At 55.0% G+C, this 23,997-nt stretch overlaps 2 pseudogenes, besides 10 other annotated features; both read left to right on the top strand.

The window, feature by feature from the left end:
* Window positions 6,037–6,099: a non allelic homologous recombination region, noted in NCBI's record as "sub-region 4', recombines with sub-region 4 within the distal SMS-REP block C recombination region". NCBI's record gives the evidence for it as "EXISTENCE:nucleotide sequencing assay evidence [ECO:0000219][PMID:14639526]" and "EXISTENCE:restriction fragment detection evidence [ECO:0001124][PMID:14639526]".
* Window positions 6,037–13,882: a biological region, named in NCBI's record as "proximal SMS-REP block C recombination region". NCBI's record gives its function as "recombination_partner: LOC106020709".
* KRT17P7 (keratin 17 pseudogene 7) lies at window positions 6,365–9,520 on the top strand (annotated as a pseudogene).
* Window positions 7,140–9,374: a non allelic homologous recombination region, noted in NCBI's record as "sub-region 3', recombines with sub-region 3 within the distal SMS-REP block C recombination region". NCBI's record gives the evidence for it as "EXISTENCE:nucleotide sequencing assay evidence [ECO:0000219][PMID:14639526]" and "EXISTENCE:restriction fragment detection evidence [ECO:0001124][PMID:14639526]".
* Window positions 10,437–12,089: a non allelic homologous recombination region, noted in NCBI's record as "sub-region 2', recombines with sub-region 2 within the distal SMS-REP block C recombination region". NCBI's record gives the evidence for it as "EXISTENCE:nucleotide sequencing assay evidence [ECO:0000219][PMID:14639526]" and "EXISTENCE:restriction fragment detection evidence [ECO:0001124][PMID:14639526]".
* On the top strand, window positions 11,048–15,087 carry KRT17P6 (keratin 17 pseudogene 6; annotated as a pseudogene).
* Window positions 13,065–13,864: an enhancer, noted in NCBI's record as "H3K4me1 hESC enhancer chr17:20418042-20418841 (GRCh37/hg19 assembly coordinates)". NCBI's record gives its function as "activates a minimal SCP1, AML or CMV promoter by ChIP-STARR-seq in primed H9 embryonic stem cells {active_cell/tissue: H9 hESC(primed)}" and the evidence as "EXISTENCE:reporter gene assay evidence [ECO:0000049][PMID:30033119]".
* Window positions 13,664–13,882: a non allelic homologous recombination region, noted in NCBI's record as "sub-region 1', recombines with sub-region 1 within the distal SMS-REP block C recombination region". NCBI's record gives the evidence for it as "EXISTENCE:nucleotide sequencing assay evidence [ECO:0000219][PMID:14639526]" and "EXISTENCE:restriction fragment detection evidence [ECO:0001124][PMID:14639526]".
* Window positions 20,866–21,451: an enhancer, noted in NCBI's record as "OCT4-NANOG-H3K27ac-H3K4me1 hESC enhancer chr17:20410455-20411040 (GRCh37/hg19 assembly coordinates)". NCBI's record gives its function as "activates a minimal SCP1, AML or CMV promoter by ChIP-STARR-seq in naive and primed H9 embryonic stem cells {active_cell/tissue: H9 hESC(naive and primed)}" and the evidence as "EXISTENCE:reporter gene assay evidence [ECO:0000049][PMID:30033119]".
* Window positions 21,452–22,035: an enhancer, noted in NCBI's record as "OCT4-NANOG-H3K27ac-H3K4me1 hESC enhancer chr17:20409871-20410454 (GRCh37/hg19 assembly coordinates)". NCBI's record gives its function as "activates a minimal SCP1, AML or CMV promoter by ChIP-STARR-seq in naive H9 embryonic stem cells {active_cell/tissue: H9 hESC(naive)}" and the evidence as "EXISTENCE:reporter gene assay evidence [ECO:0000049][PMID:30033119]".
* Window positions 22,622–23,205: an enhancer, noted in NCBI's record as "H3K27ac-H3K4me1 hESC enhancer chr17:20408701-20409284 (GRCh37/hg19 assembly coordinates)". NCBI's record gives its function as "activates a minimal SCP1, AML or CMV promoter by ChIP-STARR-seq in naive H9 embryonic stem cells {active_cell/tissue: H9 hESC(naive)}" and the evidence as "EXISTENCE:reporter gene assay evidence [ECO:0000049][PMID:30033119]".
* Window positions 23,206–23,791: an enhancer, noted in NCBI's record as "H3K27ac-H3K4me1 hESC enhancer chr17:20408115-20408700 (GRCh37/hg19 assembly coordinates)". NCBI's record gives its function as "activates a minimal SCP1, AML or CMV promoter by ChIP-STARR-seq in naive H9 embryonic stem cells {active_cell/tissue: H9 hESC(naive)}" and the evidence as "EXISTENCE:reporter gene assay evidence [ECO:0000049][PMID:30033119]".

Genomic DNA, 23,997 nt, shown 5'->3' with positions numbered 1-23,997 from the left:
TTCCAATTAAGTTACGGTGCTGCTACAGAAAGAAAAGAGGTGAACTATTTTTTAAAAGCATTTCTCCATTGGCTTTGAAAATGCCTATATCATCATGAATAGAATGTTGGTAAAATTCTGAAAGCTGAACGCCATTCTGGTGAGATCTCATATGGAAATGAGATGCAGCTTATTAGAAACAGGAGGAAAAGTGATCCTTGTTTTAAAGTGGCAAAGAACTTGGATGTATCATGTTCTAATATTTTGTGAAAGGTAGAACTTTCAAGTGATGAAACTGTATATTTTGCTGAGGAGATTTCTAAGCAAAGTGATGAACGAATGGTGTGGTTTCTCTTTACCACTTATAGTAAAGTGCAAGAGAAAAGAGATAAAATAATACTTAAAAAGGAATCACAGGCCACATGCAGTGGTTCACTCCTCTAATGCCAGCACTTTGGAAGGCCGAGGAGGGCAGATCACTTGAGGTCAGGAGTTGGAGACGAGCTTAGTGAAACCCTGCCTCTACTATTTTTGTAAACATACAAAAAATAGCCAGGTGTGATGGCATGCACCTGTAGTCCCATCTTCTCGGGAGGCTGAGGCATGAGAATCAGTTGAACCTGGGAGGTGGAGGCTGCAGTGAGCTAAGATCGCTCCACTACACAGCAGTCTGGGTGATGGAGCAAGAGTCTGTCAAAAAAAAAAGGAAATCACAGCTTGAATATCTGAAAAATCCTCAGCCTGTCTATATTGCAAAACATAAGAAACATGTTCGGCTGGGCGCGGTGGCTCACGCCTATAGTCTTAGCACTTTGGGAGCCCGAGGCGAGCAGATCACCAGAGGTCGGGAGTTTAAGACCAGCTTGACCAATGTGGAGAAACTCTGTCTCTACTGAAAATACAAAATGAGCCAGGCATGGCGGTGCATGCCTGTAATCCCAGCTATTCCGCAGGCTGAGGCACCAGAATAGCTTGAATCCGGGAGGCGGAGGTTGCAGTGAGCCGAGATCGCACCACTGCACTCCAGACTGAGGGACAAAGTGAGACTCAGTCTCAAAAAAAAAAAAAAAAAAAAGAAAGAAAAAGAAAAAAAAAAGGAAGCAAGCTGGGTATGTGCGTTTAGAGGTGCTGTACCTTTTCAGCATTATAAATGAATAGAGATGAGTGGCAATAGTTACTTTGGTCCATAGATTTTTGGTATCTTAACTAGTTTTGGATCTCTTCCACTAAAGGGATTGCCTGTTGCACGTTGTTAGGAATGTAAATACTGAAGGCAAACTGCCTGGGTTTGAATTTTGTTCTGTCCCTTGCACCCTGCCTGGGTTCAAATACTAGCTCTGCTTATGAAGTTCTTTTATGGTGATGACCTTTGAGCAAATGTCTTAGCTTCTGCTTTCCCAAGTAAATGGACACAATAGTTGCTACCTTGTGAAAGATTCATGTAATTGACCAGTGTTTACCAAGCAGCATCAGTGTTCAGTTTCAGTCGTTGGTGATTCTGCAGTTGGACTGTGAGGGGGTGCTGGGGTGGGGGTGGTGTGTGTGTGTAGCACTTAATTGCATGCGGAAAGGAAAAGATACTTTTTATAACCGAGAGGCAGCTTTTCTCTGCTTTTGTGTCAAAAGGGAAGAAGGGAGTTTGGAGAGGGAAACCAATTCTCTTTAATACTAAGCTCTCTTCTTCAAAATCAGAGGTAGATAGAATGTGTAATAATTTACAGAATTTCTAGACTTCAACAATCTGATTTTTTTTAATGTATTTTTATTTTTTCAGGTTGAGACTGAGCTACAGTTAATCTGTGGCAAGGTGCTGGATGCACTGGACAAACACCTCATTCCAGTAGCTGACACTGGCAAGTCCAAGGTTTTCTATTAGGAAATGTAGGTTCTATACTAGAAAGGAAAATGTAAGATTAAAAGTTGGCCTTTTTAGAATCATGACTTTCTTCTATGTAGGTTTCCAACTTTTATTTAAAAATAATTGTTTAATGTTAGAAGGATAGTCAATGTTGGGATAAAAAGATGGTCAGGCTATTATAAAAAATGCATTAGCTTTTGCTTTACCTATTTATATTCTTTTGCTTTCATGGGACCTATCTCATTCCCCTCCCCTAAACGGCCACACATTTCACAGTGCTGGCTGAATGTTTCATGTAGAAATTTTATTTTATGATTAATACACTTGTGCCATTTCTTGGAACCACTTGCTTGTTTAATTCTAGTCTATCAAGTGATAATTTTGTTGATATTTAGAGGCTCCTCAGTTAATTTCTGTGGGATTTTTCGTTATATTTAATAAGGAAAATAATAGGAAATAGCTAAGAAAAAAAGAAACAAAGCCAATTATTCCTGAGCATGTTTAAAATTATTGAAGTACACTTGTTAATTTTTAGTATAGAACCTACATTTCATAATAGAAAACCTTGGACTTGCCAGTGTTAGCTGCTGGAATAAGGTGTTTGTCCAGTACATTCAGAATGTCGCCACAGATTAACTTTAGCTCAGTCTCAACCTGAAAAAATAAAAATGAATTTTAAAAAATTCAGATTGTTGAAGTCTAGAAATTCTGTAAGTTATTACACATTCTATGTACCTCTGATTTTGAGGAAGAGAGCTTAGTATTGAACAGAATTAGTTTCCCTCTCCAAACTCCATTCCTCCCTTTTGACACAAAAGCAGAGAAAAGCTGCCTCTGGGTCATCAAAAGTATCTTTTCCTTTCTGCGTGCAATTAAGTGCTACACACACACACCACCCCTACCCCACCACCCCATCACAGTCCAACTGCAGAATCACCAATGACTGAAACTGAACACAGATGCTACTTGGTAAACACTGGTCAATTACATGAATCTTTCACAAGGTAGCAACTATTGTGTCCATTTACTTGGGAAAACAGAAGCTAAGACATTTGCTCAAAGAGCATCACTTAAAAGAACTTAATAAGCAGAGCTAGGATTTGAACCCAGGCAGGGTGCAAGGGACAGAACAAAATTCAAACCCAGGCAGTTTGCCTTCAGTACTTATATTCCTAACAACGTTCAACAGGCAATCCCTTTAGTGGAAGAGATCCAAAACTAGTTAAGATACCAAAAATCTGTGGACCAAAGTAACTATTGCCACATACCCAGTTTACTTCTTTTTTTTTTTTTTTTTTTGAGAGGGAGTCTCGCTCTGTCACCCAGGCTGGAGTGCAGTGGTGTGATCTCAGCTCACTGCAATCTCCACCTCCTGGGTTCGTGCCATTCTCCCGCCTCAGCCTCCCGAGGAGCCGGGACCACAGGCGCCCGCCACCACGCCCAGCTAATTTTTTGTATTTTTAGTAGAGACGGGTTTCACCATGTTAGCCAGGATGGTCTCGATCTCCTGACCTCGTGATCCGCCCGCCTTGGCCTCCCAAAGTGCTGGGATTACAGGCGTAAGCCACCATTGCCCAGCCGCTAAACTCTTTAATTTTCAATTACTCCAATTGCTTGAAACTCAAATAGCCATATGGGGCTAGTGGCCACCATTTGGACAGAGTGACTCCAACATTCCATGTGGTGTAATTTTATTTGCTAGCCTTTAGCATCATGTAATGTGATCTTCTTCACTTGTTTTCTGTCTCTGTGACCAGAGCATCAGCTCCTTGAGGTGGGAATTGGTTTGTCTTATCCACTGCTGTATGCTGGGGCTAGAAGTGGGCCTGGCATATAGTAGATGCTCAATATGTAATTGCCGAATGAATGCATGAGTAAATGAATGACTCCTGGGGACCATGAACTCTGAATTTCTCCAAAAGGAATGCTAGTTCTGCCAGGGCTTGCTGCTCTGTGACCTCAAGTCAGGATCTTGCCCTCTCTGGGCTCAGCATCCTGACCAAGGGGCACTGGGGCCCCTCTGGTCCTAAGGCACTGAGACTTACTGCTGCTTACTCTGTCCTGTTGGGAGAAAAGCTGAGTGTTGGGAGAGAAGCTGAGGCAGGGCTTGCATGTCTGCTAGACTTGCTGGCTCCTTGCTTCTAGCACTCCCATTATCTCAAGTAGCCACATGTTTCAAAGAAAATGCTACACCATCGCAGCTGTAGCTCACTCACTTGATACATTGATTCCTTTAAACCCCCACAGCCTCACCACCTGTTTCTTTGTTTGAGCACAAATAAATAGCCTGGGCTCCCTGTGTACCCATTGTTCTCACTTAATACATGAGAACATGCAATATTTGGCTGTTTCTGTGTTAATTCACGTAGGATAATGACCTTCAGCTGCATCTGTGTTGCTGCAAAGGACATGATTTTGTTCTTTTTTATGACTGCCTAGTACTTTGTGGTGTATATGCACCACATTTTCTTTATTTAATGAACCGTTGGTGGATACTTACCTTGGTTCCATGACCTTGCTGTTGTAAGTTATGCTGCGATAAACATGGGAGTGCAGTGCCTTTTTATATAATGATTTCTTTCCCTTTGGGTAGATACCCAGTAGTGGGATTGCTGGGTCGAAAGGTAGTTGTACTTTTAGTTCTTTGAGATACCTCCCTACTTTTTCCATAGAAGTTGAACTAATTGACACCTACCACCGCTTGCTGGAGGTTGAGGACGCCCAGTGAGTGTGCACCCGGGCTGGAGAAGGCAGGAGGTATGGCCCGGAAAAGAGACACAGAAAGGTAATCCAAGAGGGCTTTCTGGAGGAGGTGGCAGCTGAGCCTAGAGGTGAATTTCGTTGGGGAAGAGGGAGTGAGGCCTAGGCAGCTTAGGCCATGACCCCCATGGTGGGAGATGGCTGCATAAGGGTCTCTCTCCTGGCATCCGTCTTTACCCATGCCTGGGCATCCTACCCCCATCACCCTTTAACCCCCGAGGGCCTTGGCTGGGTCCCAGAAATTCCCAGGAGGGTCAGAGAAGACCACGGGGACTCTCATCACCCCCACCCTGGCTCACTTCCAAAAAGGCTGCAAGAAGGATGTTGGAGGGTCTCCTGGAGGCTGCCAAGGGCATTTTCTCATGGAGCCCACATCTCTCCCCGATCGTGGTGGCTGTGATCGGTAATTCCAGCTTCATACTGGCTACAGGTGGATGATGCCCACCTGGCTGCCGATGACTTCTGCACCAAGTGAGGCTGGGTCTCTGGAGCTGCCCCAGGGGCTGGACAAGCTGACCCTGCCTGGAGCCAACCTGGAGATGCAGCCTGAGAACCTCAAGGAGGACCTGGTCTACCTGAAGAAGAACCATGAGGAGGTGAGTTCAGCTCAGGGAATGCAGCAGAAATTCACCTGGAAGCAAGCGAGGCTGGGGCCCAGAACCTCCCTGGGCTGGGCCATGCTTCCAGTCCAGTTCCCATCCTTTATGGATGCCTAGCACTGACCCTCAGAGGACCCTGGGTGAGGCCTGGAGGAGCCCTCTTCTCAAATAGACTTCATTTGTCCCTTGAGGCTCAGCTCACTGCAGTTAACTAACTAATGAGTAACTCAGTGTAAGAACACACAATACTAATTATTAGAACTAATTATAATAGTGATAGTCATTAAAACAAGGAACTTCTGCCCAGCACTACAAGTGACTCACAGCCATTAACTCAACTGATACAAAAACTGGGAGAAAGATACTGTTTCTTTCTTTTGACCTGTGAAGAAACTGAGGCTCAGAGAGGTTAAGGGATATATCTACGGCTGCACAGGGACCCTCCTTCAGGTCTGTCGGACTCGTATCCACCCCACCTCTCTGCCCCTCTCCTGCCCCTCCTTTCCAGAAGGTTCTAGGTCCCAGGGACTCCAAGGCTCAACCCAAGGATAGAGATCCAAGGTCCTGCCGGGGCGGTCAGGAGGTCTTACATGCCCTGTCCTGTGGCTTCCTTCTCAGCCGAGCTCTGTGCTGCTCTAAGCTGGGGGAGCCTACTCCCCGAGAAGCAGGACACCCGGAAGGTGTTTCCCCCTGGCGTTGAGGCTGGTTATACAATTGCTTTCCTCTAGCAGATTAACATTTGCTAACGGGGCCTGGCGCGGTGACAGCAGCGTAAGGTTGCTTTTTGCATGCCTGTGCTGTGGGGTTGGTGGTGGGGGCAAGGCGGTGGTAGGGGCGAGGCCAGGGCAGTGAGTGAGGTCGCCCATGGTCATTCTCTGCCGTGCTGGGGGGTTGTCATCTCTTGGGGCTTAGCACTTGTTGGGGATGGGTGAAGTCCAGTCCCGAGTCACAGTGTGTGTTGGGGGAGGTTGCTGATATTCATAGCCCTGTATGTTTGAGTAATGACAACATCCATCTCCACCTTCAGGGTGAGGAGCTGTTGGCCTATCTGTGTCTGTCTGTCTGTCTGTCTGTCATCCGTACCTGTCTCTCCGAGGGAGAGAAGGCAGGCCCCAGGGTCTTTCCCCAGGATGGCCTTGGGTGAGTTCCTGCTGTCCTCTCTGCCCAGGAAATGAACGCCCTTTGAGGTCAGGTGGACAAGGATGTCAGTGTGAAGATGGACACTGTGCCTGGAGTGAACCTGAGCTGCATCCTGAATGAGATGCGTGACCAGGACAAGAAACTGGTGGAGAAGAGCTGCAAGGATGCCCAGGGCTGGTTCTTCAGCTTGGTGGGTGGCCGTGTGTAAGCAGGTGTGCACACGTGTGGGCACATACGCCGTGTGCTGGTGCAGTTGGAACACCGGCAGATTCACAGGCTGTCCCAGTTGGAAGGACTTTTGGAAACCAGTCGGACCAGCCCTTCATGTCTTCAATGTAAAATGTGAGGCTCAGAGAGGACTCAAGCTCACACAGCCCTTCACTGTGGCCTGCAAAATAGATCCAGTTCTCTGCAAGTCTGGTCTTGGGTTTCCACCACAGCTGTTTACAGGATGTGTGTATTTGAGTACATACACATACCCTTGGCAAGCACAGGCTGAGTGTGTCCGCTGTCCTAGGGACAGCAACAGGTGCAAAAGAATAACACCCAGTGCCTGTCTTTGAGGTGCTGTAGTTCGGTAGGAGTAAGAAATGCAAACGACCGCAGAGCAGGCTGAATTCCTCCAAGGTCCAATGTGGGTGCAGAGAGTCTTTGTGTGCAGGTGCTTTTGGGGCCCCATAGAGGCCAGGGAGGGTTTAGGGGATGGTTCTGGGAGGTGAGGGCTCAGGAACAGCCCCTTTCCTGTGCCCCACTTCTGAAAGTCTCCATAAACCCCTGTGGCCCACTCTGCCTTCCAGAGAGAGGGGCTGAACTGCGAGCTGGCCACCAACACAGAGGCCCTGCAGAGCGGCAGGATGGAGATATGGAGCTCTACATCTCTGTGCAGAACCTGAGCCGTCCCAGCTCAGCAAGGTAGGGCCTCTGTCCCCTCCCCACCCTGTACCTGTCACCCCAGGGTGAGCGCAGCCTTATAGACCCCTGCTTGGAGAACCAGAGTCCCCACCCAGCCTGTCCCTTCACACTCAGTGGCTGGGTGCACTACCACCCAACTGTGCCGGCAGCACCCACAGCTCCATACAGGAGGGGCTCCTCTCTAGTGCTCTGCCATGGGGAAGGGTCCCACGTCCATCTCATCGCACCACCTATCTCTTGGCCCACAGAAAGCATTGCTGGAGGGCAGCCTGGTGGAGACGGAGGTGTGTTACAGGACCCAGCTGGCCCAGCTGCAGGGGCTCATCAGAAGCATGGAACAGCAGCTGTGCGAGCTCTGCTGTGATGCAGAGCACCAGGACCACGAGCACCAGGTCCTTCTGGACGTGAAGACGCAGCTGGAGCAGGAGATCGCCACCTACAGCCGCTTGCTAGAGGTTGAGGACGCCCAGTGAGTGTGCACCCAGGTACCTGCTGGGGCGGGCTGGGGGCCCACTTCACCCAGGGAGAAGTTGGTGTCTGAGCACCAGCAAAGTTCAGGAGGTGTGAATGTGGGAACCTGTGGGGTTTGCAGGAGGTGAAACTGACGATGCAGGCTGGAGTCTGACTGAGGAGCCTTGACTGCCAAGTTAAAGCGTCTGGACTAGATCACGTAGGCAATGGGGAGCCATGGAGGGATTTGGAGCAGAAGAGGGGAATGAACATCAAGATATTTTAGAACATTCACTCTGGCTACAGAGGGAGAAATGGATCAGAGGGGTCAGGGTGGGGCCAGAGAGACGCGTCAGGGGGCTAGAGCAGGGAGTCTGGCCAGAGAAGTCTTGCGGGGTGGAGGCTGGGTGGGGGGGCAGGGGAAGGAAGGTGGTGCATGCAGAAGAGAGGTTATAGCTCAAAACAGCAGGACTGGATGCCTGGATCTCAGGGTAAGCGTGGCTCACGGTCAGGACTCAGTAAGCGTTGGGTGAACACATATGAAGGAGTGGGCATTGATGGCCCTGGGTTTCTGGTTCCGATGACTGTGTGAGTCCATCAGCCACAGGGTGAAGAGCATGGTGGGTGGTGGTCGGGTTTGCAGTTGGGAAGGGTGATCAGGCCTTCAGCTGAGTGTGTCCTGGAGTCTCCATGCTTAGTCACACGTTGCAGCTTTTTGCTCCCCGAAAATGGTGAAGTCCATCTATAGTCTAACGACAGTCTCTCCTGCTTTAATTGGGTCTATTGGTTGGGTCCTCTGGGACATGGAAAAACCACTTGCTCAGCTTCTCCTTGTAAATTCCTGGTGAGTGCCTCCAGGCCTACTGCTGTGCTGTTTCTTTTTCTTCTTCCTGCTGCACTGAACCCCTGCCCTTTCATTCTTGGGCCTGTGCTAATTTCTGTGCATTCCCAACTGTGATTTTTCACCAATTTAGGGGAACCTCCTCTGACAGGGCCTGCTTCTCCCCAGCAGTGCTTGCAGGGGCCTGGGCTGGCTGGCATCCCTGGGTCGATGGGTGCTCCTCTCCCTGCAGGCTGGCCACTCAGTACTCCTTGTCCCTGGCCTCGCAGCCCACCCGGGAAGGTAAGAAGCTGCCCTGTCCTGCTGTGTGGACCCCAAGGCGGGGGAGAGGCTGAGGACCCTTCTGTGTGGGAGACTGGGGGGACCACAGACTCAGGGGCAGGTGGGGGGAAGAGCTCCTGCCTGATGTTCCCTGTGCCTCCCTCCTCCATCGCCTGCAGCCACAGTGACCAGCCACCAGGTGTGCCATCGTGGAGGAAGTCCAGGTTGGAGAGGTGGTCTTCTGTAAGCAGGTCCATCTCTCCACCCACTGAGGCCCCTTTCTGCCTGTGACAGCCCCACCTCGAGGGTCACGGCACAGCCATCAGCTCCAGCTCCCAGCATGCTACTGCCACGCCCCGAGTGTCCGTCTGGGCACTGGTCCATGACCTGTTGTCTTTCTGTATCTACTTTCTGCAGCCCCTCACTGAGGAGGCCTCCTGGGTTTGTCCAGTGCCTGCTATTAAAGCTTTGCTCCAAGTTCAATGCCTCGTGTGATCTGGTCTGTTCATTGGTTTGGGGCAGTGTGGGCTGAGGGACTGGGATAGGTGGAGAGTTTATTGAGTGTTTGGGTATTGGCTTGTCACCTGCCAATCTGTTCTGCCCACTCCATCCAGGCCTGGGGCTCCTGGAAAGACCAGAGGGGAGGAGGAGGAAGGATTAAGGGTGGAGGGAAGGGACAGCCCCTTGTATTGGGAAAAGTTTCTAAGAATCAGCCCCTGAGTCCCTGTCACCTGTGGCTGGTCCCTGGGAGGGCCACACAGACTTTCCAAGGACCACACCTGTTGGGGAGCACTCCCTGCCTCAGCCCAGGGTGGGTTCAAGAGCAGAAGGAGAGGGGCTCGGTGGGGAGGGGCTTCTGAAGGAGTGGTCCAGGGCACTGATGAGTGAGGGGGTGAGAGCGAGGCAGCTAGCCCAGGAAAGCAGACCGGCTCTGCCCAGCTCGGGGTGTGTGTGGGGCAGGGTGGCCGCTGTGCGTGTACGCATGGGGGGTGTCCTGTTTGCTTTGGTGGCTTGGCAGCCACTGGGCTATTGAGGAATCTCTCTCCGCTGCTGGTGGGGCTACCTGGGCCTGTCTGGGAAGTGGAAGCCATTGGCAGTCTGAAACATGACCACCTTCCACCCAGCGGGCCTGGCGGGACCCTGGGACCCAGGGCGGGGCTTGGGGTGGTGGGCAGGGCAGGGTGGGGCTGTGGAGTGGGGCACTTGGCCCGCCCAAGGAGCCACATCTTGGGGAGCCTGGAGTGGGGAGGGGGCTGGCTGGCTGGGGTCTCTGTAAGAGCCTCTTCTTGGGCAATGTCCTTTAGGTTTCCTGTGGGCTGAGACCTGAGAGAAATGCCCCTCCCCTGACCCTGAGGTCTCTTGGGGTACAGAAGGGTGAGAGGAGTGGAAGGGGGCATCCCCCTCTCAGTTGGTTTAGATCCTCTCTTAGCACGGCCCACCTTTCCCCCATCCTATAGCTGAGCCCCTGTTTGCCCACCCCAGCCTGGAGTGTAAACCTGGGGAAAGGTTTACACGAGGAGACTGGGTTAGCAAGGGCTTCTAGGGATGGGGCAGGGTCAGAAGCTGACTGGATGGAACTGTAGCCCCTAGAGTGCATTCCTGGGTGTCAGACTCTGCAGAAGGGGCCAGTGTGGACACTGCACCCCTCTGGAGCCCCAATTTCTTTATCTGCGATGTGGGTTGGTCTCCGAGGCTTGATGGCATTTCTATGCTGTGAGGTGGGCCTGGTGGGTTTGGGCTCAGTTTCCAAGGCAGGATAGGCTCTCGGTCCCTTCTTTCTCTTCAGCACCCAGCCCCGGGCCAGCACCTTGGGTGGAGCAGTGTGGGGTGAAAGACAGCAACTTCAGGGGGTGGTCACCTGACATTGCAACCCATTTCCCCACCAGACAGGGTTGAGGTGGGCCGGGCTGGGGTGGTGGCTGCCTGGGAGGGCCTGGGGACGGTGAAGTCCTGTATTCTCCTCTTCTCCCATATTAGGTCATGGGAAAGCATAGCTGGAGGGCCCGCCCAAATCACAGGTGACGGGCCTCAGAGCAGTGGCACGCACACGCGTGGCACCCAGCACGAGGATTTGGAGAAATGAGGCAAATTCCTGATGATGGGTGGGGAGGGGGTCCCCAGCCACCTGGGAGCTGGCAGGTGGCCCGTGGTGATGAAAGCCCAGGGGAACGGAAACAGAGGAGCCTGTTGTAATCGCTACGCCCACTTGGTGGCCTATAAAGGAAGCCTGTGAACCCCGGCAGCCCTACACTACTTGGGGCCCCTCTTCTTTCCAGCCCTTCTCCTGTGTGCCTGCCTCCTGCCGCCGCCACCATGACCACCTCCATCCGCCAGTTCACCTCCTCCAGCTCCATCAAGGGCTCCTCTGGCCTGGGGGGCGGCTCGTACCGCACCTCCTGCCAGCTGTCTGGCGGCCTGGGTGCCGGCTCCTGCAGGCCGGGATCTGCTGGTGGCCTGGGCAGCGCCCTCGGGGGTAGCAGCTACTCCAGCTGCTACAGCTTTGGCTCTGGCGGTGGCTATGGCAGCAGCTTTGGGGGCGTTGATGGGCTGCTGGTCGGAGGTGAGAAGGCCACCATGCAGAACCTCAATGACCGCCTGGCCTCCTACCTGGACAAGGTGCGTGCCCTGGAGGAGGCCGACACTGAGCTGGAGGTGAAGATCCGTGACTGGTACCAGAGGCAGGCCCCGGGGCCCGCCCGTGACTACAGCCAGTACTACAGGATAATCGAGGAGCTGCAGAACAAGGTAGGGCCTGCTGGTGGGAGGGGTCTCCGGGGGGCATGACTTTTTCCCCCCAACTCCTGCCCTGGCCAAAGGCCTGGAGTCCAGCCATAGGGTCTCAGGGAGCCAAGTGTGGTTTGGCTGTGGCTTAGCTTCTGGGAACCTGCCTTGGGGCCCCTGTGTGGCCCACATCCCCCTTTTCTGGGGGCAGTAGGCTGAGTCAGGAACAAACAGGCCTCGTGGAGCCCCTTGGAGACTCAGTTTCTCCCTCGTGGAGCTCCTCCACCTGGAGAGGTTGTAGGATGAGGCAGGAGGATGCAGATGGAGGGCTGGGCCCATGGGCCACTGGATGCGTGGTGTCTTGCTCCTTTGGAGCAGGGGTCAGCAGGAAGGGGTTTTGGGAGGTGTGGAGTGGGGGTGTCTGAGTGAGCTCCCGATAGCACCTGCTGCGGGTGGGAGGCAGAAAGGAGGGGGTGGGACCTCAGGGTGGGGAAGGCCTCTGATGTGCCTTATTTGGGGATTTTTCTGGCTTCTCCTTTCCTCCTGCTGTCCCTTAAGACAGGCTCAGCAAACCGCAGGGGGCGGGGCTGCTGGCTGGAGCCCAGGGTTAGGGATTAGGAAGGGTCCTGACTTCTGATTTGGGACCACTCTTTGGTGAGGGCTCCTTTAGCCTCCTTTTGGGGGAGCCTGTCAGGGGCACCCTCTAGCTGACTGTAAAACGAGGGGGTTGCCCACATCCCCTCCCTTGTTCTAGAATTCTGGGACAGTTTCTGCCCTGGGGACATTTTCCCTTTCTTTTCTGGTTGCCTCATACTCCCAGCCAGCTGTCTCTTCTCCTTTAAGGCTGAGCCTGGCATGGGGGTCTGGTGGGGTACTGAGTAGCGGGGGAAGAAGAGGCACCTTTGAGCCCTTCAGACTCCTGCTTGCCCCTCCTCTGCCAATAATACAGCACGGGGCAAGGGAGGGGCTGGGCGGGAAGAGAGGACCCCAGGCAGGAAGATCTGTTCAGAACTCTGGTGTGGGCTCAGCCACCCCCATCCGATGACCTGACTACTCTCCCATCTCCGCTGATCCTCACAGCCACCGTGGACAATGCCAACATCCTGCTACAGAATGACAATGCCCATCTGGCTGCTGCTGACTTCCACACCAAGTGAGTCCTAGCTGTGGGCTTGGGCAGCCTGGGTCAGCTGGGGGAGGATCTCAGGGTACCCCTCCTGACCCCAGGACTCCTTGGTTGCTTGTGGCAAGGCCCAGGAGCTCAGGGTGGGGCAGTCCTAGGAGCCCCACTACTTAGTCCAGGATGCAGTGAAGGCAGCCAGTTCTGAAGGTTGCTGGGCTTAGGCAGGGAATAGAAGAGAGGGAGGGGAGGCAGGAGGCAGAGAGAAGTAAGGAAGCTGGTGGGCGTAGGATCTGGCCCTGTGATGGTCCCAAGGCCCCGGGGCTGGAATTCGTTTCCACTCGACCCTCTCATCAGCCCTTCCAACCCCTTAGAGTCCTGGCAAAATGAAGGCAGGTGAGCAGCCAGGACCTGGACCTGCAATTCCAAGCAGCCTGGGCTGAAGTTCCTGATTCCCATGGCAGGTTTGAGACAGAGCAGGCCCTGTGCCTGAGTGTGGAGGCCGACATCAATGGCCCGTGAAGGGTGCTGGATGAGCTGACCCTGGCCAGAGCCGACCCGGAGATGCACATTGAGAACCTCAAGGAGGAGCTGGCCTACCTGAAGAAGAACCACGAGGTGAGGTGGCTGGGGCAGAAGGTCAAAGATGCTGAGGAGTGGGTGGCAGAGCCCTGGGGCTGGGCCATGGCTGAGGCCGTGGGAGAGAGCACAGCAGGCGCACTGGGATTAGTCACCTTAGAGGGCTTCCCTGTCTGCGGAGCCCTGATCCTTGGGGTCCAGCGTGCAGGGCAGACTCCTCTTTGTACCACACTGCTTCTCTGTACCCAAGGAACCTCCCAGGGGCCCGCAGAGGCTCCCTCTACCTGCCCTGGCCTCCCTCACGAGGGCAGGGGATAAGTAAGGAAGTCTCCTTCTTGTCCCATTTCAAACTCTCAAAGCTGAACATCTACACAGAAGCTTGGAAATTAGAGGGGAAATTTTTGGGGCATAGGCTTAATAATTAGATTTTATTTTGGAGAGCCCTTGGTCTAATGGGGGAGATAGAGTCTGATGGTGGAGGCAATACTGAGCAGATGAATAAAAATCATTTAGAGGGTCAGATAGAGCAGAGGAAGAACAAAGGAGGGGTCCTTGTGGGGAGTGGGGTCACCTCGTGGGGGAAGGCTTGGGAGTGAGAGATCAGGATGGGTCCAGATGCGCACATCCACATCCCCTTTTTCCATAGGAGATGAACGCCCCGCGAGGCCAGGTGGGCGGTGAGATCAATGTGGAGATGGGCGCTGCCCCAGGTGTGGACCTGAGCCTCATCCTGAACGAGATACGTGAGCAGTATGAGAAGATGGCAAAGAAGAACCGCAAGGATGCCGAGGATTGGTTCTTCAGCAAGGTGGGGGCTGCTGCAGGCCAGAGGTCTCTCTTCGGGGCTGGGGCTCAGGGGCCTTAGCACTGACAGTAAGCCCACGGCCAGGTGTCTTGGAGATGCTCCCTCCTCAGCAAGCTGCATGGACCACAGGGTCACCCACTGCATCAACAGACCTGGAGCTGAGCTCAAGCTGGGATCTGGGGGGTGGGTGGGGAGCTAGGGAGCCCCCACAGAATAAAGGCAGAGGGTAAAGACCTTGGGAGTCCCCACCTCTCTCTCAAGAAGTCAGAAACTAGCACCAAGAGCCAGGCTACATGTTCTGGCTGGTTCTCAAGTTTCCGGTCTGTGCCTCCCACACGCAGGGATTAACCATAAAAAGTTAACATTTCAAATGGCATGTTTCTGGGCTTTGGGACGTGGGAAGCTGGTGAGAAGGCATCACTCTGTCCACAGTTAGATTTGGGAGGAGGCCTGACTGAGGAGAGGGATCCAGGCTCACACCACCCTGTCCTGTGTTCTGTCTGCAGACAGAGGAGCTGAACCGCGAGGTGGCTACCAACAGTGAGCTGGTCCAGAGCGGCAAGAGCGAGATTTCGGAGCTCCGGTGCACCATGCAGGCCTTGGAGATCGAGCTGCAGTCCCAGCTCATCATGGTAGGAACAGTCCTGTGCATGGGGATGGGCCCAGAAGAGGACACTGACAACCCTCACTGACCCCTGGTCTTCCTGCCCTCCTGCAGAAAGCATCCCTGGAGGGCAACCTGGCGGAGACAGAGAACCGCTACTGCATGCAGCTGTCCCAGATCCAGGGGCTGATCGGCAGTGCGGAGGAGCGGCTGGCCCAGCTTCTCTGCGAGATGGAGCAGCAGAACCAGGAGTACAAGATCCTCCTGGACATGAAGATGCGGCTGGAGCTGGAGATCACCACCTACCACCGCCTGCTGGAGGGCGAGGATGCCCAGTGAGTGGGGGAGCCTGGGGTCAGGGCTGGGGGCCTCTTGGCAGGGTTGGGGCTCTCAGACTCACATCTAATTTCCTCTCTGTTTTTTTTTTTCTTTCAGCCTGACTCAGTACAAGAAAGAACATAAGCATCTTGGTGGCTGAGGCCTTGGGGATTGGGTGCATGGGACAGGCAGCCCACCTGCACGTTGCTGGAGCTGGGTCCCCAGGAGTTCTAGGAGTTGATGGCTGTCCCTCAGCAGGGGTGGGAGAAGTGACCCGTTAGCACTGAGGATTGATACTCAGGAAAAGATCAAATGAGAGAGATGCTGTCTGGTCTGATGGGGTGGGCCAGGGAACTGGTCCTTACCTTGGAGATCCTAGTCTGATGGAGGAGACAGGTCCCACCTCTGGAGATTGTCATCTGATGGGAAGATAGGAACATGGTCTCATGATCTATGCTCTTGACAGCTTTTGGATGAGCGAAAGCAGTCCTGTCTCTGGGGACTCTAGCCTGATGGGAAATAGGGACATGCTCCTTGTCCTCCAAATTCCAGTCTGATGGAGAAGATATGATGCTAGCCCCAGGGTTCCTAGTCTAATGGAGGAGATAGGGGCCTGGTTTTTGTCTTGGCGATCCCAGTCTGATGGGGGAGATGGGAGCAAATCTATGCCCTGGAGACTGCAGAGAAATGGAGATGGATTTCATGGAGTCTACATGGCTCCTCCCTGGCAGGACACACTGGGTCAGAATCAAATAACCCATCTGCGGAGGCAAGACTCACACAGGGCCACCGGCAGAGGGATGGGATGGAAGGGAGGCGGTGGCAGGGACAGGAGGGATGTGTGTGCAGTGTGATGTTGAGGTGCCAGTGGAGGCACTCACAGCACCTGGGGGAGGACGAGGGAGAGAGCCGGCTCCTGTCCATGAGGGCTAGGGGGCAAGCGAGGGCCTCCTGGCCCCTACCCACTTTAAATTGCCTGCTTCTCCTGCAGCGGTGACCACCTGTCAGGTGCCTACCATTGTGGAAGAGGTCCAGGATGGTAAGGTCATCTCCTCCCGCGAGCAGGTCCGCCAGACCACCCGCTGAGGACTCAGCTTTCCCGGCCGGCCCCCCAGGAGGCAGGGAGGCAGCGGTCCCATCTGCCCCGCGGTCTCCGGCCTCTCCACCCTCAGCCCCCTGCTTCAGTCCCTTCGCCATGCTTCCCTGCGTGATGACAATAAAGCTCGTTGACTCAGCTATGAAATGTGTCCTTGTTCTGGCCGCTGAAGTGGGCACTGGGGACAAAAGGGTGAAATGGGAAGGAGTGAGGGTGGGGGGAGATGGTGCGTGGAGACCCCGTTGTTGACTGGCAGGTCAGAGGTCAGCTTAGACCAGCATAAAGAGTAAGTCTGGGGAGAGTTTGGAGGGGGGTGCTCGCATCTCCCAAGGGCTGGAGATTTTCAGGGGGTGGTCCAGGCTGCGCTAGACCCGGGGTGGAGGCGGTGTATCAGGTGTGGTCCTAGGTCGCCACTGCTTGCCCTGTGAGTAACTCTGTGACCTCGGGAAGTTAGGCAGTCACTTCCCCTGACTGAGCCTTGCTTTTCCATCCGTAAATGGATGGGAAGATCTCAGGTGTGGGAGCCCGAATCCTCAGAGATGACTCACTCAATCAGTTGCTCCTTCCTGTCCTGTGGGCTGTGCCCTCCCCCTAGATGGGGCAGGAGGTGGGCAAGGGCTGGGATAAGCACAAAGGGAGGGTGGGTGGGGGAGGCAGTCTGGGTGATTGGGGCCCCGACTCCTGTGTGAGTCTCAGGAAATCCCCAAGAGGGGCTCCCATTGCCTCTGCCCTGGGAATGTGAGCGGGAGGGTGGTGTTTTCAGGGAAGGCTGCGGACCCCAGGCAGGTATGGGAGAAAGGGTGGGGCCTCTCTCAAGGATGTTTCCTCACATGGTCAGCTGTTGCTCAGGATGCGGACAGGGCAGAGTGGGGGGCACTGCAGATGGGGTGGCTGTGCCCAGGGAGCAGTGCCACTCTCCCTGGCGGTCTGGATCCTCTTTGGTTCCCCACTAGGGACAGGGGTGGTGTGAGGGAGGGTAGAAACTGCCTCCTAGGAAAATGAGAAGGAACAGTCCTGCTCCAGCCACTCCCGGCACCCTCTATGAGCTGACCAACGCCAGCTCTTGCTGGTGGCAGCAAACGTGGCTGTGGGGAGCAGTCTGTGGGAGGTGAGCCTGACACCTGGAAATCTTCCTTGTAGTAAATCTGGAAACTGCCAGGTGGGTTGGCCTGCTTTCCTGGTTTTCTTCAAGCAGGGGGTTAGTGGGAGGAGGGTGCCTCCACGTCCTCACTGCTGGACCTGTGGTGTCTCTGCTGCTGCGGAATCAGACCAAGGCCCCCAAACACCCTCTCTCTCCTGGTGCCTGGAGGCTGGGGGTGGGGCCCAGGTCCGAGGAGAATGGGAGTGACCAGAGCCCTCTGAGCCTGGGTTGGTGGGGGTTTGGGACTGGCAGAGGCCAGGGATGGGGGTGGGTACTGACCACTGGGGTATGGGTGACTTTGGGCTGGTCACAAGCCCTCCCTGGACCTTGGAGCTATGACATCCCGGGAGAGTGTTTCTCTCTGCAGGGTAGATGGCTGCCTGGAGTCGGGGACTTGCACCTGCAGCGGCATCTGCACGACTCAAAGCAAGGGCAAGCTCTGCTCCGTTGGAGGCTGACGTCTCCCTGCTCTCTGGCAGCAAATGTGGGGCCATGGAGGGCAGGAGGGAGGCACTGTTTGCACCAGGCCCCCACCATACACCCCGCCACAACCAGAAGAACAGCCCTGGGCTGCAGATGGCTCATTCTGGAGGGTGACTTCATTTGTCTGAATAGTCCCCGGAAGCAGGGAGGGTCTAGGGGAAGGCGCCTTGTTGTGTGGATGGGGACACTGAGGCTCCAAGGAGCAGTGACTCAGCCCTTGTCCCACAGCCTGAGGGGTCAGTAGTGGAGACGGGCACGGGAGGGGAGTGGGCCCCGCTTCCGTGCTGGGAAGAGGAGCCAAGCCCCAGCTCCTCCCCCACCTCAGGCTCCAGGCAGGGCTATCTCTCCCTCCTGTAGAGCCTGGGGTCCACAATTACTGATGGCGTGAGTGAGGAGGGGTCAGAGTGTGGGAAGGACCAGAGACAGCCCCAGACTGTGCCCCTCTGCTGGGGAAGAAGCCCTTCTCCACAAAGTGAGTGGGTGGGAGGCTCAGGAGGCCAGAATGGGGGAGCCCCCCGGTGTGCCCAGAGAGCTGAGCCAGTAGAGGCAGTGGTTGCCAGGGGCTGGTGGGGAGACTTGAGTGACTTTGTCCAAGGACCCCAAGTGGGCCCAGGATGCTGGGGACATGTGCCTGGGCTGGATTGGGGACCCAGCTATGGGACTCAAGGAGGGACTCACAGTTCGTCCACACACTCCCTGCCCACTGCACAGAATGTCCTCAAGGCAGAAGCTGCGGATATGTGGTTACCCTGTAGAGCTGCCACACCTGGTCTCGTGTGATGGACACACATATAAGACTCTCAGGCCAGACCCATGCCAGTGGTAGCTGCCTCCGGACCCCCCTTGCAGGGGTTGACCTGGCAGCATGTCTTCTACGGAGACGGATGTGGTGGGGGACACTCATCCATGGCATGACATCGCTCTGCGTCTGGTTTGCACTGAGTCCAGGGAAAGGAGGAGACACCGGTCCTGACCCCAAGAGACAGTGCCTGCCCCAAGGGGACCTGAGGGACTGACAACAGTCCCTCAGCCCTTATGCAGTGTGGGTCTATTGTGGCAACCAAGGTTTTGGGGAGATGAGGGGAACAGAGGGAGCAGAGCCAGGCAGGTCTCCCCACATGCACAGAGCCGAGGGGATAACTGAGCTTGACAGAGACCCGTCCTCACCCTGAGCTGTAGTGACCATTTGAAGAAACATCCCTGAGAGAGGCCCACTCTTTCTCCCACAACCCCTGGGGTCTGCAGCCTTCCCTGGAGGCACCAGCTTCCCGCTCACACTCCTGGGGTGGGGGCAATGGGAGCCCCTCTTGGGGGTTTCCTGAGACTCATACAGGAGTCCGGGCCCCTTGTTTGTGCAGAACAGGCACCCCAAGTGGGTCCAGGCTGCTGAGGACATGTGCCTGGGCTGGACTGGGGACCCAGCTATGGGACTCATGGAAGGACTCACAGTTCGTCCACAGCCACCCTGCCCACTGCACAGAATGTTTCACCCCATCATCAAGGCAGAAGCTGCAGATCTGTGGTTGGATTGTGAAGGGCTATGACAGCCCCACCTTCAGAAGGGGGGCGTCAAACTTGCAGGAGGGGAGAGGACCCCCGAAGGTGGGCCTGGCACTCACAGATTTCCCCAGATCCCTGGAGCCGTCACAGGGGCAGAGCCTGGGCCTGGACATTCGTTCTCCCCCAGGAACCCTGCTCCCTCTGTTTCTCTGCAGGGCCCCAGCACCCCATCGTGGCCTGACTTTAGTGTATTGGGATTGTCTTTACCACCTTCTCCCCCAGAAGACTATGTCTCCAGGGCTTCTCTGTCTTGTTCTTTGAGTCTGAGTGCCCAGCACAGTGTCAGGCACACAGTAGGTGCTTTATAAACACCTGCTCATAAACATAACGCTAGCCACCAGCCTTTGCCAGGTGCTTTATTTATTTGGCCTCAAATCCCCTAATATGCCTGTGACGCAGGGCTGTTATTCCCATTTCCCAGACAAGGAAACTGAGGCTCAGAGAGGCTGAATATCCTGCCCAAGGTTTTGCCCCTGCTTGCCCCGATTCCAGGCTGCTCTGTCCTGGCTCAGTGGGGCTCTACTTTTCCTTCCTCCTGCCCTGAAGCCTGTGGCTCTGGCTTGTCCACCCAGGGCTGGGGGCCCTGCAGCAGCCCCCTCTCTCCCCTCAGCTTCTCTGCCCCCCTCCTCAGCCCCCTAAGCTGCCTCCTGCCTTCCCAGTCTGAGTTGGCTGGGGAGCTTGTAAAACAGCCCCACCAGCAGGCTTGTCCTGAGTGGTGCTGATGCAGGAGTTGGAGCAGGGCTGCGAATCTTCTTGGGGACTCTGATGATCTGTCTGGTTGGAGAATCACTGCAAGCCAAGGCGTGGCATTGGCCAATGGTGATTCCCGGCCTCCTCAGGTATGCTATGATCTCCGCCTCATGCTTGACATGGGCAGGACGAAGGAGGGAGGAAGGAGGCAGGGTGCGGGGAGGAATCCTCTGCCTGGAGGATGCCCACTGGGCTTCTCTATGCTCACCAGGCTTAGAGGTCCTGGCTCTTGGCCACCTTGGGGCAAGTGTGCATCACTGATGCAGAGGAAACGCCTCCTCCTCTTCTGTCAACTCAGATCCTCTGAGGCCCTGCTGGTGCCTCCCTCTGCTGGGACCCTTTCAGGGATCAAGGCCAGGAGGGCAGCCCCCTCCTCTACTGCTGAGGCTCAGCGGGGTAATGCTTACCCCAGCTGCCTCCGGTGGTGTGGGCGTGGCAGTCAAGCCCAGCACCCTAGGGTTTCTAGCCAGGTTCTGCATTTTCCAGCGTTAGTTTTCCCTCCAGGGTCAAATGATAAGTTCTTCTAAGGTCAGAGACTACGTCATCATTTCCCTCTTCACCCCCAGCCCCCGAGAGCTGTGCACACAGCAGCTGCGTGATCTATGGAGTTGGCTGAGCAGTTTGGCGCGTTGGTCAGCAACTTCCTGCAGCTTCTCAGCCCACGCAGATCCTCAGGTCTGCAGTGCTGGGCTTGTGTATAATCCCACCCTGACACCTCCTGGAATGGGGAACTTGGCGGGGGGCAGTGAGCCAATGAGAAAGGGGTGTGTGTGCACGCACACACGGTGGGGGCAGAGAGTGAAGAGTTCTCGGAGACTCCACTGTGAGAGTCGGTGTGAATCCTGGCTTGGGAGTTGGAGCTGGCTCCGGTCTGTGCTCTCTCACTTTTGTGCTGCTTAACCTGGATAAGGCTTTCGCCCTCTCCGGTTGGGGTATTGATAGCCTTTGGTGACCTTGAAGACCATTTTCAGTTCTGAGGGTGATGGGTCTGTGGTTGGACTGGAACTCCAGGCCCACCCTGACACCTGAACGCTGAGGTTTTTGTCCAAGATTCCGGGGTCCCCTTTGTCCCTCTTTGGGGTGGGGGTGGGTGTGGGGAAGAGAGAGATCAGTGTCTCTTTCTATACGGACTGTGTCTATATAGAAAGAAGTAGACATGAGAGACTCCATTTTGTTCTGTACTAAGAAAAATTCTTCTGCCTTGAGATGCTGTTAATCTGTAACCCTACCCCAACCCTGTGCTCGCAGAAACATGCCCTGTGTCGACTCAAGGTTTAATGGATTTAGGGCTATGCAGGATGTGCTTTGTTAAACAAATGCTTGAAGGCAGCTAGCTTGTTAAAAGTCATCACCACTCCCTAATCTCAAGTACCCAGGGACACAAAACACTGCGGAAGGAAGGCCGCAGGGACCTCTGCCTAGGAAAGCCAGGTTTCTCCCCATGTGATAGTCTGAAATATGGCCTCATGGGAAGGGAAAAGACCTGACCGTCCCCCAGCCCGACACCCGTAAAGGGTCTGTGCTGAGGAGGATTAGTAAAAGAGGAAGGCCTCTTTGCAGTTGAGATAAGAGGAAGGCGTCTGTCTCCTGCTCATCCCTGAGCAATGGAATGTCTCGGTGTAAAACCCGATTGTATATTCCATCTACTGAGATAGGAGAAAACCGCCTTAGGGCTGGAGGTGAGACATGCTGGCGGTAACACTGCTTTTTAATGCACCGAGATGTTTATGTATGTGCACATCAAAGCACAGCACCTTTTCCTTAACATTGTTTATGACACAGAGACATTTGTTCACATTTTCCTGCTGGCCCTCTCCCCACTATTACCCTATTGTCCTGCCACATCCCCCTCTGGGAGATGGTAGAGATGGTAGAGATAATGATCAATAAATACTGAGGGAACTCGGAGACTGGGGCCAGCGTGGGTCCTCTGTATGCTGAGCGCCAGTCCCCTGGGCCCATTTTTCTTTCTCTGTACTTTGTCTCTGTGTCTCTTTCTTTTCTCAGTCTCTCATCCCACCCCACGAGAAACACCCACAGGTGTGGAGGGGCAGGCCACCCCTTCAGGTGGGGAGTGTCGGGTTCCCTCTCCCAGGTTTGGCTCTGAAGGCATGTGCATCCATTCTGCTCTTACCTCTGATCCCAGAGTGACCAGGGGAGATGTAGCAGCGACAAAACCCTGGTTCTGCTGAGACAAGGAATTGCCTGCCCCAGTGGAGCCCAGGCAGAGGCAGGCTGTCTCTGGGCTCCTCACCTCAACAGAGGCACTGCAGAGCAAGGCCAGTGGCCAGCACCAAGGGATGCCCCACGGCACCCTGAGGAGGCCCCGTCTTGGTGCCCAGATCCCTCCTCCTCCCTCCAGTCCTCGGTGCTGCACCAGCCTCTCAGGCCAAGGCCACGCCCACCCTGGGCAGACCTCATGCCAGTGATCGTGGGGAGGTGGGTGAGAGTTGGGTATACTGGCCCCGCCTGCAGGCATGGTGGGAGCCTGGAGAGGGCTGAGGTCTGGGTTCTAGTTGCAGCTCTGCAGCTTAAAGCAGAGTGACTTTGAGTGAATCTCCACCTGTCTCTGGTTACCCCTCTGTCCCCTCTGATCAAGAAAATGATATAAATTTGAGATGCACAGAGAGAGGGCTCAGGATGACAGAACAGGCTTAGGCAAGGAGAACAGGCAGGCAGGTTCACATCTCAGCTTCCAGTGCCTGGTGTCTTGGGAAGCCCACTTATCCTCCCTGAATCCCAGCTCCCTCACCTGAGGACTGGTGGCAGGAATAACGCCCCCGTCATCCCTGCTCACAGAACCGTACAACACACACCAGGCTCTCCATGAGTGCCTGAGTGGGCCCATGACCGGTGCTCTCCCCCAGCTCAGCTGGATGAATGGAGCTGCCAGGCCCAGCGTGGGATCTGTGGACACAGGAGAGAGAACTGCTGGGAACGGATCCCCAGCCAGTCCTGTTTCTACAGGGTAGGGGGGAACTCTGAGGCCCACGGCGGGGTCAGGGGTCACACCTGGCTGCAGTGGCAGGACGGGGCTCCCTCCCACCGGCCTGCAGGTGGGGTGCCTGTGATTAGGAGAGGGCGGTAGAGGAGTGGAGGAGCTAGGTGTGGGGCTGCGGTGTTCTTCAGCTGGGAGTGTGGGGGACGCAGGGCCCCGCGTAGCGGTTCGGGAGGGTGCCAGTGTGTAGAGGTGAGTGTGAGGAGCAGGTGGCTGGAGGGGGAGGATGAGGAGGATGAGGGGCAGGGCTGGCCCTTGGGGAAGGGCCGGTGGGGTCCTTCGCGCATGTTTCTTTGTGGCTAGTGGTGTGTCATCCCCTTTTACAGATGAGAAAACTGAGGACCAAGGGGCTGTAAGACCAGCCTGTGCTGTACAGCTGGTAAGGGCAGAGCAGGGACTCAGTGCCGCCTGTCTGGCTCCATGGCCAGTGCTGTTTGTATGGTGCACACACTTCTGGAGATCCCGGGGGCTCAAGGCAGCCTCCGGAACTGGAATTAGATCCAAGAGGGGAAAGAGAGTCATAGGATTTTTAGAACCAGAAGGGACTCTGCAATCACCCAGTCCAGCCTGGTCACCACTGAGGGGAAACAGGCCCAGAGGTGGGAGGTGGGGAGCCTCAGGCCACACAGCAAGCAGAGTGAAGACACGAACTCTGCCCCTGCCCAGAGTGGGACATGTAGGATCCCCGCAACTGCTCCCCAAGACAGCCCAGGATGGCATCACTGAGGTCTCTTTCAGCCAAGGCTGTCACTGTGGGGCAGGGAGTTCTTCTGAAGGGCTGACTCACTGCCTGGGGACACAGTTGCCACAAAGCCACCTGTGCCAAGGCCCCACTGGCCCCAAGGGCTCCAGGAACGGGAGCCTGATTCCCGGCCACCTAGCCTGAGTCACCACCGACTCACATTTGTGTGTTTTTCTCTCAGCTCCACACTCTCAAAGCTGGGTGGGAACTCTGAGCCAGCACACAGCGGAGTTGATCCTGGGCTGAATAATCCAGAGTGAGGAGTTGGACGGGACTGGGA

This window comes from Homo sapiens, chromosome 17, assembly GCF_000001405.40.
Source record: "Homo sapiens chromosome 17, GRCh38.p14 Primary Assembly".
NCBI lineage: Eukaryota > Metazoa > Chordata > Mammalia > Primates > Hominidae > Homo > Homo sapiens.
The sequence above is the reverse complement of the archived record's forward strand: the minus strand, read 5'-3'. Positions and strand labels throughout refer to the sequence as shown.